The sequence below is a fragment of the Homo sapiens genome, chromosome 11, assembly GCF_000001405.40.
Source record: "Homo sapiens chromosome 11, GRCh38.p14 Primary Assembly".
Classification (NCBI taxonomy): Eukaryota; Metazoa; Chordata; class Mammalia; order Primates; family Hominidae; genus Homo; species Homo sapiens.
In genome coordinates this window covers 82,356,200-82,369,406 of record NC_000011.10, presented here as the reverse complement: position 1 = coordinate 82,369,406, position 13,207 = coordinate 82,356,200, and the positions used below count along the sequence as shown (strand labels likewise).

At 32.4% G+C, this 13,207-nt stretch overlaps 1 long non-coding RNA gene across 1 annotated transcript in view; it reads left to right on the top strand.

Annotated features, from left to right (window-relative positions):
- Positions 1–13,207, top strand: part of MIR4300HG (MIR4300 host gene) — a 524,063-nt gene that overhangs the window by 34,507 nt on the left and 476,349 nt on the right. Inside the window, exon 2 of the long non-coding RNA NR_120571.1 lies at positions 12,779–12,895. This is a non-coding gene — a long non-coding RNA (MIR4300 host gene). The remainder of the gene's footprint in view (positions 1–12,778; positions 12,896–13,207) is intronic.

The following is a 13,207-nucleotide window of genomic DNA, read 5'->3' as shown; positions in this document are numbered from 1 at the left end:
GAAATGCATCATCAGGCGATTTTGTCCTTGTGTGAACATCATAGAGTGTACTTATACAAACCCAGATGGTATAGCCTAATACACAACTAGGCTATATGTTATATAGCCTATTGCTCCTAGGTTACAAACTTGTATAGCATGTTATTGTACTGAATGCTGTAGGAAACTGTAACACAATGGTAAGTATTTGTTTATCTAAACATATGCAAACATAGAAAAGATACGACAAAAATATGGTATTACAATCTTATGGTACCAGCATTGGTGTATATGTGGTGTATTGTTAGCTCACATGTCATTATGCAGCACATGACTATACTATACTTCTGACCCATTCACATTCTGATTAATGAAGAGGTGCTATTGTTTTATAATAATGCTATCCATATTTTGTCCTAGTGCTAAGTTAACATTCTCCATCAGTGCAGGGTTTGGATTATATTCATCTTTTATTCTATAAACATGAAACTCAATGTTATACATAGAAATTGCTCAATAAATATTTAATAAATGAATAAATGAATACTATTTTTATCTAATTTAGTTTAAGGGGGTATATGTGCAGGTTTCTTGCATGAATATATTGCATAATGCTGGGGTTTGGACTTCCATTGAACCCATCACCAAAATAGTGAACATAGTACTCAATAGGTAATTTTTCAACACTTACCCTCCTTCTTCTATCCCTCCTCCCTTTTGGAGACCCCAGTGTTTATTGTTTCCATCTTTGTGTCCATTTGCAGCTTTTTAAAAGCTTTCACTTATAAGTGAGGACATGCAATATTTGATTTTCTGTTTCTGAGTTAATTCACTTAGGATAATGGCGTCCAGCTGCATCCATGTTGCTAGAAAGGTTGTGATTCTTTTTTATGGCTGCATAGTATTCCATGATGCATATGTACCACATTTTGTTTATTCACTCTACCATTGACAGGCACCTAGGTTGATTCTATGTCTTTGCTATTGAAAATAGGGCTGCAATAAACATGAGTGCATGTGTATTTTTGGTAGAATGATTTATATTTCTTTGGATGCATACCCAGTAGTGGGATTGCTGAGTTGAATATTTCCACTGTTATTTCTTTGAGAAATCTTCAAACTACTTTCCATAGGGGCTGAACTAATTTATGTTCCCACCAGCAATGCAAAAGCGTTCCCTTTTTTCCACCTCCTTGTCAAAATTTGTTATTTTTTGACTTTGGCAATAGCCAATCTGACTTGTGTGAGATGGTATCTCACTGTGGTTTTCATTTGTTTTTCTCTGATGATTAGTAATATTGAGCATTTTTTATGTTTGTTGGTCATTCGTATGTCTTCTTTTGAGAAGTATCTGTTTATGGCCTTTGCCTGCTTTTTAATGGGGTTACTTGGGGTTTACTTGTATATTTGTTTAAGCTCCTTATAGATTCTGGATATTAGCTCTTTGACAGATACATAGTTTGCAAATATTTTCTGCCATTCTGTAGGTTGTCTGTTTACTCTGTTGATTGTTTCTTTTGCTATGCAGAAGTTATTTAGTTTGATTAAGTCCCATTTGTCAATTTTTTTGTTTTTGTTGCATTTTTAATATATTAATAAGGGTTCATGCCATTGGTAGCATTTTAATATACACGCCAATATGATAAGCAGGTTTATCCTGAGGTTTTACTATTTAGTTGAGCCATACAAAATTGCCATTTTTATAAGTAAAAAGTAGTTTAAAATTATAGATTTTATGTGCTATTACCTAATGCCCTAGAGTATTTGTCTACAACTGTTCTTCTTTATTTACATTAATTTTTATTTTATTTTTGCTCTTTAGGCAACATCTGTTTAGAAGTTTTCATAAACTTTAAAAAATGTTATAATTATTATAGCAATTTGTTTCATAACTCTTCAGCCATAGATGAAGGAATTTCTCCAGTACCACAACCTGTCAACTAGCATACTATTCAAGAAAGAACCAAAGTTCGCCATCAGATAGAACTGGGTTTCATCCCTGGCACAGATACTACTCATGCAATGACACTGTGAAAATTAGCTCAGCCTTCTGAGTTTCATTTTTCTCATTTCCAACTAGAAGGGCTTGAGCTGAAAAGATTATCTCTTAATCTTCTCTCAGTCGTAAATTTTTAAAATTCTAAACATGAAATACAGATTATTGTACACATTATTTTCTGAATCTATTATTAATTATACCTTGCATAAAATACTGATGATACAAGGATAAACAGGTCAGTAATTTGTTGTGATGTGAAGTGTGTAACAGAATGGTGTAATTAAAGAAGGACTGGAAAGAGAGTCAGAAATTTGTCTTTGTGACTTCCTTGCTGATTGCCCTCAAGAGAACCATATAATGTCTCTTGACTTTATTATCCTATTCCCTAAAATGGGCCTCATAATAATAGTGATTTAGATAGATCAGAGAATTATAATGAATATCAAAGAGGGCAATCCTTCTAGGAAGGCTTCAGAAGGTCCAAAACAGGCATTTTCAGTCTTGGGATATCATCATCAGATAAACATTTTAAAAATTAAGGAAATTACATGGTGTTAACGGTTTATTCATTTACCTTTTAAAATACTTTTAATTTATAACAGTGGCAGATTAACAGAAAAAGTTTGAATATTGTACAGAGAATTCCCATATATTCCATAACCAGTTTGCCCTATTAATAACATCCTACATCAAACTGGTACATTTATTATAATTAATGAACCAATATGGATTTATTATTATTAATTAAAAAGTCTGCACTTTATTCAGATTTCCTTATTTTTTCCTAATGTTCTTTTTATAATCTGGATCTTATCCAGAGTACCACATTATATGTATTCATTATGTCTCTGTCAGCTCCCCTTCACTATAATAGTTTCTCAGACTTTCTTGGCTTTTGATGACATAGATAGTTTTGAGGCGTACTGGTATTTTCTAGAATGCCAGTACTAGAATTGAAATTTGTCTAATTGTTATGATTAGACTGGAGTTAAGGGTTTTGGGGAGGAAGATTACACAGGTAAAATGTCATTTTCTTCACATCCTATCAAGGGTACACATGATCAACATAACATCCTTTTTAATGTTAAGCTTTATTACTGACTGAGCTAGTGTTTGCCAGTTTTCTCCATAATAAAGTCATAAAGTTACTCTCCCACCTCCCCCATTTCCAGACCATATTCTTTGGAAGAAAGTCACTATGCATATCACACACTTTAGGAGTGGGGAGTTAGGCATATAAGTGATTTAGAATTCTTCTGCATGGAAAATTTATCTTTTCTTCCTCATATCTTTATTTGTTCAATTATTATATCAGTATAGACTTATGAATATTTATTTTTATACTTTGAATTATAATCCATTTCTACTTGATTTTATTGCTCAAATTGTTCATGTTTTGGCCATTAGCAGTTCTTTTAGTTGGCTTCTGTGTCCCTTTGATATATCCATGTAATTATAGAGATAATTTTTATGAGCACTTACTTCCTGGCACAACATGCTCCAGGCTCATCTTGTATCCCATTTCCTACCATCATTTGCTACCCCAGTTGTAGAATCAGTCATTTGTCTAAGGGTCCCTGGTTCCTTTTGTTGGTGAATGGTATTACAAACCAAGATCTCAGTGCCAGTTGTGCTTCTGCTATGAGTGTGTCATTTCTTCCAGCTCTCTTAAGCTGGCACAGCAAGGGAATATAAGTGTGTCTAATAAGCCATTTATATACATGTACCTTTAGATATTTATATACAGAAGCATATATATCTATAAGAAACTAAGCATGAGTTCATATCTCCAATTCTAATCTATTACCACTTGGATCATTTTAGCCTCTTTCCTTACTTATCTGTGAACTCCTACTCCATCAGAAAGGAACCTGGCTCCCACCATCTGCCACTCATTTACTTAATTGCTCAATTCATTATACATGCGTAGTGGCATCAGAATTGTTAATGTATACTCTTATGGGAAAAAGCTATCAACTAGACTATCGTACTTATATAAGTGTCTTTTACTTTAGTCTTGTAGATTCTCTTCATTTCCAAAGTTATTTATGCCTGTGTTTCTTTCCACAACTCCCTCAGTGTTGTTATTTCACACGTTTTTTCATACATCATACATTTTATACATATAGTGAGGTTGTTTTGTCACATTTTTGCATTCCATTCTGGGACTTCTGACCTTCTAAATGATTAAAGAAGTTTCATATATTAAGGTTTACTCTCTGTGCTGTAAAATTCAATGGGTTTTGATAAATGCAGTGTCATGTATCCTATATTAAAGTATCATATAGGATATGTTCACCACCCTTAAAACTACACTGTGCTTCACCAGTTTAACCCTCTCTTCTCTCTCATGGAACCCTTAAAGACAGCTGATCTTTTTAGAATTTTGTCAATTCTAGAATGCCATATAAATGAAACAGTCCAGTATGTAGCTTTTTCATAATGGCTTCTTTAATTTGGCAATAAACGTTTCATTTTCATCCATCTCTTTTTGTTACTTAGTAGCTCATTTGTTCTCATGGCTGAGTAATATTCACTTGTGCAGATATCCCAGTTTGTTTATTCATTCACCTTGTGAAGAACATTTAAATTGCTTCCAGTTTGGGGTTATTAAAACTACTATAAAGATTTGCATAAAGGATTTTCTGTAGACATAGTTTTCAATCAGTTGGTTAAATATTTAGGAGTATGATGGCTGGATCAAAGGGTAAGATTATGTTTAGCCTTGTAAGAAACTAGAAGAATGTCTTTCAAAGTGACTGAACTATTAATATTTTGCATTTCCACCAGCAGTGAATGTGAGATCCTGCTCCTCTGAGTATTCGCCAGCAATTAGTATTGTCAGTTTTTAATGACAAATTATGCTAATCGTCTTTTCATTTGCTATTCTCCATCTATATATTTACTTTATAGAGGTGTCTGTTCAGGTTGTTTGCATGTTTTAAAGTTAAGCCGTCTACTTATTGCTGAGTTCTAAGGGTTGTTATGTATTTTAGAAACCAGTTTTTTCTTTTTTTTTTTTTTAGTCAAGGTAAGAGTAGAACTTTAAGAAACAAGTTTTTAAAAACCAGATATTATATTTTGCAAGTACTTTATTCTTACCTGTGGCTTTAAAAATATTTTCTTAACAGTTTACTTTGCAGAGAAGTTTTAAATTTTAATATATTTTAACTTGTTAACTTTTTTCAACATTTGGCGTTGTGTGTAAAGACTCATAGCTAAACCCCAAGTCACTTAGATTTTTCTCGTGTTTTCTTCTAGAAGTTTTATAATGTTGAGTTTTACATTTAGGCTATGATCTATCTTAAAATATTTTTTGTGAAAGCTATAGGATTTTGTTCTAGTTGTTTTTGTTTTGTTTTGTTCTGTTCTTGTGGGGTCTCTGTTGTTGTTTAATTGTTTCAGCACAATTTGTTGAAAAGACTACCTCCATTGAGCTGCCTTTGCTCCTTTGACAAAGATCACTTAATTATATTTGTCTGGATCTACTTCTGGGCTCTCTGTTCTGTTCCATTGGTCTGTGTGTCTGTTGTTTCAATGAGGTAGTTCTATTTTGATTACTGCAGCTTTATAGTAAGTCTTAAAATTGGGTAGTGTGAGTCTTACAGATTTGTTCTTTAGCATTGTATTGCCATTCTAGGTATTTTGCTTTTCCACATGAACTTTAGAATTAGTGTGTAGAGATCTACAAAATAGTTTGTTGAGATTTTGACTGCGATTACATTGTCTTTATGGATCATATTGTGAAGAATCAACATCTTAACAATATTATGTTTAAATCCATGATCATGGTATATTTCTCTACTTATTGAAATCTTTGAGTTCTTTCATTAGAGTATTATGGTTTTTCACATATAGAGCTGTATGTATTTTATTATATGTATATCTAAGTATTTTATTTTTTGGTGATGTTATAATGTTACTGCTTTTTAAATTTCAAATTTTCATTGTTCAATGCTGGCATATGGAAAGGCAATTTAACTTTTTATATTAACCTTGTATCTTGGAAACTTGCTATACTCACTTATTAGTTCCAGAATTTTTTTGGTCATTTTTAAAGGAATTTTTACATAGGCAACCATGTCAGCTGTGAATCAAGACAGTTATTTTTCTTCCTTCCCAATTTATATATGTTTACTCTCTTTTCTGTCTTATTGCATTAGTGAGGACCTCTATTACAATTAGGAGTGGTGAGAGAACGCAACCTTGTTTTGTTTCTGTTCTTAGTAAGAAAATGTAAATTTTCTTGCTATTAAGTATAATGTTAGTTGTAGGATTTTTTTTGTGTTTTGTTTGTTTGTTTGTTTTTGGCAAACATTCTTTATTGAGTGAGGAATTTCTCCTCTATTCCTAGTTTAAAAGTTTTTATCAGCAGTGGATGCTGGACTCTGTCACATGCTGGGTTTTTTTTTTTTTTTTTTTGCGTTAACCGATATGATTGTATGCTTTTCCTCTTAATTAGCAGATTGATGGGATGGATTACAGTGGATCAGTTTTTGAATGTTAACAGTCTTGCATACCTAGAATAAATCTCACTTGTTTCTAGTGTATAGTTGCTTTTATACATATTCTAATTGATTTGTTAATATTGTATTGTGTGCTTTTAAATCTATATTTACAAGAGATATTAGTCTGTACTTTTTCTTTCCTTAATGTCTTTACCTGATTTTGGCATTAGGGTTATGTTAGCCTTGTAGAATGAGTTAGAAAGTATTTACTCAGCTTCTATTTTTTGGAAGATATTGTAGAGAATTGGTATCATTTCTTGTTTAAATGTTGGGGAAAATTTACTGGTGGAACCATCTAGGGCTAGTGCTTTCTATTTTGGAGAGTCATTAATAATTGATTTAATCTATTGTATATTATAAAATACATTATAATAGAATATAGTTATATATTCTATTGCTATATTTGCTTAATAGTTCAAGAAATATTTTTGTCACTTTAAAGGAATATTATATAATTATAATACAGAATATAATTAATATTAAATATATAATTTATGATATATATTGATTGATTGATTTAATGTATTGTATATTATAAAATACATTATAATAGAATATAGTTATATATTATATTGCTATATTTGCTTAATATTTCAAGAAATATTTTTGTCACTTTAAAGGAATATTATATAATACATTATAATACATAATTAATATTAAATATATAATTTATAATATATAATTATATATTACTATATATAATTCCTTGAAAGACACAATCTACCAAAACTCACACCAATTAAATAGAAAATATGAATAAATTTATATCAATTAAATAAATTGAATCAATAATTAATAGCCTTCCAAAATAGAAAACACTAGGCCCAAATGGGTTCAGTGGTGAATTGTATCCAGCATGTAAGGTTGAAATTATACCAACCCTCTACAATCTCTTCCAGAAGGTAGTAGAGGGAATACTTCCTAACTCATTTTATGTGGCCAGCATTACCCTAATACCAAAACCTAACAAACCCATTATAAGAAACTATAGACTGAAACCTCTAATAAACACAAATGCAAAAAGCCTCAATAAAATCTTAGCAAATTAAATTCTAGAATGTATAAAAAGGATAATATACCATGACAAAGTTGTATTTACCTCATGTATACAAGGCTGGTTCAACATTCAAAAATTAATTAATTTTAAAAATTAATTTTAAAAAAGTTTTAAAAATCAATAAATCAATTAAGTAATTCCTCACATCAATAGGCTGAAAAGAAAAAAAATTACATGAGTTGCACAGAGGATTGCGCACATTCCAAAAATTAAATTGTACTAGATCATAATCAACTTAGTTCTATCAAAATCCATTCATGATTATATGAATAGATGGGAAAATATTTGACAAAATCTAACATCCATTCTTGATAAAACTCTCAGCAAACAAGGAATAGAAAATAACCTTTTCAACTTGAAAATGAGCATGTACAAAAACCCTATAGTCACCATTATACTTAATGGTGAGAAAGTCAGAATTTTTCTGCTAAGATAAGGAACAAGGAAAGAATGTCTTATCTCAAGGAAAGGATATCTCATCTCACTGTTGCTTTTCAATGTCATACTGGAAGTACTCACCAATACAATTAGACTAGAGAAGGATATAAAAGAAAGATTGGGAAAAAAATACAAAATATCTTTGACTGTGCATAACTGTGTTTGTAAAAAATACGAAATAATTGACCAAAAAACTCTTGTAACTAATAAGAAATATAGCAAGGTTGCAGGATACAAGTTTAATATCCAAAAGTTGGTCATGTTCCCATATGCCAGCAATGAACAAAATGGAATTTGAAATTAAACTTTTTGAGGGTATTTTCAAGACTCCCATTCAGCAAGGGTTGAGATATAAACCTCAGTGAGATTCTGGTTATCTCTGTTTTACAGTTAACCTGTTAGTTTTGTGGGCTATTGAATAGCTCTCTCTCTGCTTTTTAATTTTGCTCATGGCTTTCTGAGCCCTGGCAGTATGCTCTCTCTCTTTCTGCCTTCCTACTTCAGGTCTTTGATGTGCCACTGTGTAATTGGTGAGCACACTTTTGGAAATAATTTGCAGCATATATGGAATTTGCTCTGAATCTGAGAATCTTCAGAATTATATCCAATATGTTATTTATGTATGGCCATTATATTTTGCTTCTTTTTCATAACACCAGCAAAGCTCCTTACATATGATGGGTTTGCTCCTTAGCTTTCAGGATTCGCCTTGAAAGGGTTTATAACTTTTTGGAATTTAGTTAAATTTTCCTTTTTAACATCATCAACATCAACCCTCTGATGAGATTAAAGTTTCTATTTTTTTTTTTACCTTATTCACTGTTTTCTTATTATTTTGATTTGAGAAATGGCCTTTTGTGATCCAAAATTGAAACCTGCTTGTCCTATTTTTGTTATTATTTTTTTCTCATTTAATTGTAGAGTTGAAAATTCATTGCAAACATTCATCTTTTGCCTTTTGACTGGAAATGACTACACTGAAGTATTAAACAAATTTATGGTACTATTATTATTGCTTATATTTTACATTTTAAAATTAAGAGGCAATAGATAATTTGGCAATTATTTTGAAGGGTGTAAGAAAAAGGGTTGAGTTAGAAGTATCATCCATTCTGCCTATAATGTTGAATAACTTATCTCAGAAACACTGTTGACTATAAATAATTTCTGTGAGTTGCACAGAGGATTGGGAACATTCCAAAAATTAAATTGTACTTAATCATAATCAACTTAGTTCTAACTATCAAAATCCATATGTAAGGCTCATTGTTACCTATTAGTTATAAGAAATAATTTTAGTATTTATATAAAGCTTCTTTTATAAAAATTTATAATACTGAATTAAAAAAATAGGTTTAAGAAGTATCCTATAAAAGTAGTATGGAAGTTTGAGGAAGGGGCATTTTAGACACACAGGAGGAAGATTTGGTGCCTGAATTCTATGCTTCTTATTTCCTCCCATTCTGGGTTCCTGACAAAGGATTATATGCCAGGAAACAAGAGCCAAACAGAGAACAAACTTTCACTTTATTAATGACTAGGCAAACACAAGCCAAATTCAGAGTACTCTGGTGAACTCTACTAGAGAACACATCTAAGGCTAGAGACATAAACGAAGGCTATTCCTCTTTATTTTCTGTCCCGGATATATGAGATTGAATGCCAAGGAGAGCATGGACTGGACTTAGTGACACAGACTGAAATCCAAAACAGAGAAAATGAATGTTCAAGGTCCTACGGGCTTACTGCCCAGACGTGCTTATTCCGTGGAGGCAAGAAAGACAGAAAATGCAACTTGCATTTGTTTGGGCTAATCTTAAGGTGCACAGTAACCCTAAAGTGGCCCAGCAAGTGATTAGATTCTATTCAATAATATTACCTGTGTTCCTGGATATACCCATGGAAGTCAATGCACCACACTTTTGATTAACTATTGCTTTTATTCGTGATGGTTAATGTACATCAGAATATTGAAGATGGTTAGTTACATTTTTAAGGAAAGGGAGACAGATATGGTACATCCTCAAAGGACAACATCTCGGGGTAGTGTGTAAGGAGACAGAAATAACCCCAGTGGTTCAAGATCTTCCATCTTAAGCTGCTGTAGACTGTGAGTAATTGCTAGAGTGAGAAAATGTTATAAGAGATTCTACAGGATTGAGAAATTCTAATAAATTTTACCCTTTTTTTAGTTCTTAAAACTAGAGTTAGAGGTTATGAAACATGTTTTGGAATTCATTGCAAAGTAACTCTGTGTTAATAGATTTATAGATTATTATCCAGTGCTTCACATAAGATTTGTACTTCAAGGCTGCATGGTTGTGCTTGGTCCCTTAGTATCATCCTGCAGTTTTGAGTGTTGCCGAAACAGCTGCATTCTATCTGTGCTCTCATCTCCCTGACAGCTGATGAAGAAGAGAGATAATTTCAAAGCAAATTCACAGTTCCAATTCTTTAGTTTGGAACTAAATAGTCTCTTCTCCCATTTATTTTCATCAAATCACTTCAGATCTGAAAACTCCTTACCAGAAGTAAAGAAGGAAGGGCAGGTAATGAGGGCTTACTAGAACTACTTAAGTCTTGAATCAACTATGAGTAATAATAATAAAAACAATTACTTGAAAAATTGTATGCTTTATGCTTATATTGTATTATTACACAATTTATTTGGTCCTGGTGATTTTGTGATTATCCTTTAGATTTGCATTTAACTATTTTTTCATTTTCTTGGAGCTTTTCTAGAGGACTCACTTGACAGTTTGGTAAATAAGAAGCCATTAATTGTTCAACATGTAGTTATTAATGACTTACAGATAAATTAAGCAAGGGGTAATATAATTTGGCCTAGAACATTTTGTTACGTATTTTTTTTCCACATGAAGAATTTGAAGTTTTCAATTATTCTCAGGCTCACAGAAGTATTTTATTCTGACTCATTCACTCTAAAATGAGAAAACTAAGGCTCAGAGAGAGGTTAAATAACTTAACACCACATGGATACAAGCATGGTTAGTGGAATCATTGTTTGAACCTCAGTATATTGATATGTGCACCACACAATATTACATTGAGCTTCCATAAATGTACCCACTGAGAAATACTGATAACAATTTTGAATAAATTATATATATTCATAAATAACAGAGTTAGTAAATAGAGCTCATTAAGGCAGGATTATACATATATTCTACCAGTAGGGTGTTCACCCCTGCCAGACAGATTAAACAAAGAGTTTTGCACAATCCCAATTGTCTGTTGATTCTATTGTTTTTTTTCATGTAATGACATGATTTACAAGCTAATGCTTGCTTTCACTGTCTAAGTGAGAAAAAGTGAATGAATGTTCTGTTAAGCTGAATAGAAACATGAGATAGCTAAAATGCCCCCAAAGAAACATTGTCAATATTTACATATAAAACATATTAAGGCTAACACACATCTGGACTGAAATGTGGCTGAATCTTCTAAGCAACTTTGAAAAACCTTGCCACAATAATTAACGTGGTAACAAATGTGAGAACACGTTGATTTAAAAACAAAAGTTTGATTAATTGACTGCTTTTAACTGTGATTTATTTATTCTACCTCTAAATGCCCAATTTGGTGTTTATTTTTGTGTTTCCAGTTGGTAGGAAAAACATTTCAAACAGTGAAAAGAGAACTGGTGCTAATTTCTTTTATCCACATAAAATCTGTACTATTTGGAGATAGCAAACTATGCTAGTAGTAGTAGCAACAATTAGTATATGAAAAATAATAATTACGTAGTTTATGTTTGGTAACATATATATATATTCTTTAAACAAACTTTGATCAAATGACTACCATATTCAAGCTATTTTTTTCTCTCATGATTTCATACCATATCTTTTTCTCAAATATTCATACAAATCCAGGAAGGTAAGAAGTTTGCTCAAGGTCAGAAAAATACTATGTAAGGGACAGTGCTGGGTTTTGAACGCAGGTCTCTTGTGACTCTAAAAACAATGTTTGTTTAATATGCAACTATATTTTAGCCTTACACTAATCCTGAGTGGTAATTAGGTCAGATATTACTATTATTTTCATATTATATATTTATTAGACAGGGTCATCCAGAGAAACACAACCAACAGAATGTATGCATATCTATCTATCTATCTATCTACCTGCCTATCTGACACCAAAAGACAAAGACAGTTTATTAATTTATTGAATTGACTCATATGACTGTGAGGCAGACTGGAATCTGTAGGGTAAGCATCAGGCTGGAGATTCAGGTAACAGTAATGTTGTAGTTTTGAGCTTGAAGGCTGGAAACTCAGGCAGAATTTTTATGCTGCAGTCTGGGGGCAAAATTCTTTCTTTTTCTGGAAACCCCAATTTTTGCTCTTTAAGGTCTTTAACTGATGAAGCCCACCCACATTATGAAGGGTAATTGGCTTTACTTAAAGTCCACTGATCGCAGATTTTAATAACATGGAAAAAGTACTTTTACAGAAACACCTAGTCTAGTGTTTCATCAAATAACTTGTTACCATAACCTAGCCAAGCTGATAATATAAAATTAACCATCACAATATGAGAATCTCAAATTTTTTAGTAGGAAGCTATCGTAGGCAGCCTCTAAGATGGCCTCCAAAGATTCCTGCCTCCTGCTCTTCATCCCCTGGTGTAATCTCCTTCCCTTTTGTATGGGCTGGACCTACTTACTAACTTCTAATCAATAAAAATCCATAAAAGTAAGGGAATGGCACTTCAGACATTAGGTTACACAAGATGTGGCTTCCATCTTGTGTGTTCTCTCTTCTCTTGCAGGTTGATTCTAAGGAAGCCAACAGCCGTGTTGTGAGTACCCAATGGAAAGTCTGTTGTGGCAGAAAACTGATGTCTCCAGCCAACAGCACTGAGGCCCTGAGACCTGCCAACTGTCATGTGAGTGAGCTTGGGAGTGAGTCATCCCTTATTTAGGCCTTGGGTTGACACGTCCCTGATGTAAAATTTGATTGTGGTCTTGAGAGAGACTCTGCATCAAAGGCAGTCTTCTTAGCCAGACCTGAATCCCTAAACCACAGAAACAATGAGATAATATATTTTCACTGCTTTAAAATTACTAAATTTGGGGGTAATTTGTCACTTAGCCACAGATAATCAACACGAGCCATTATTATCTGGCCTTTAAACTAGACACATATCTGAGATGAATTCTTCTTTCCTTCCACTGAAATTTTGATGAGGAGTTGTTGC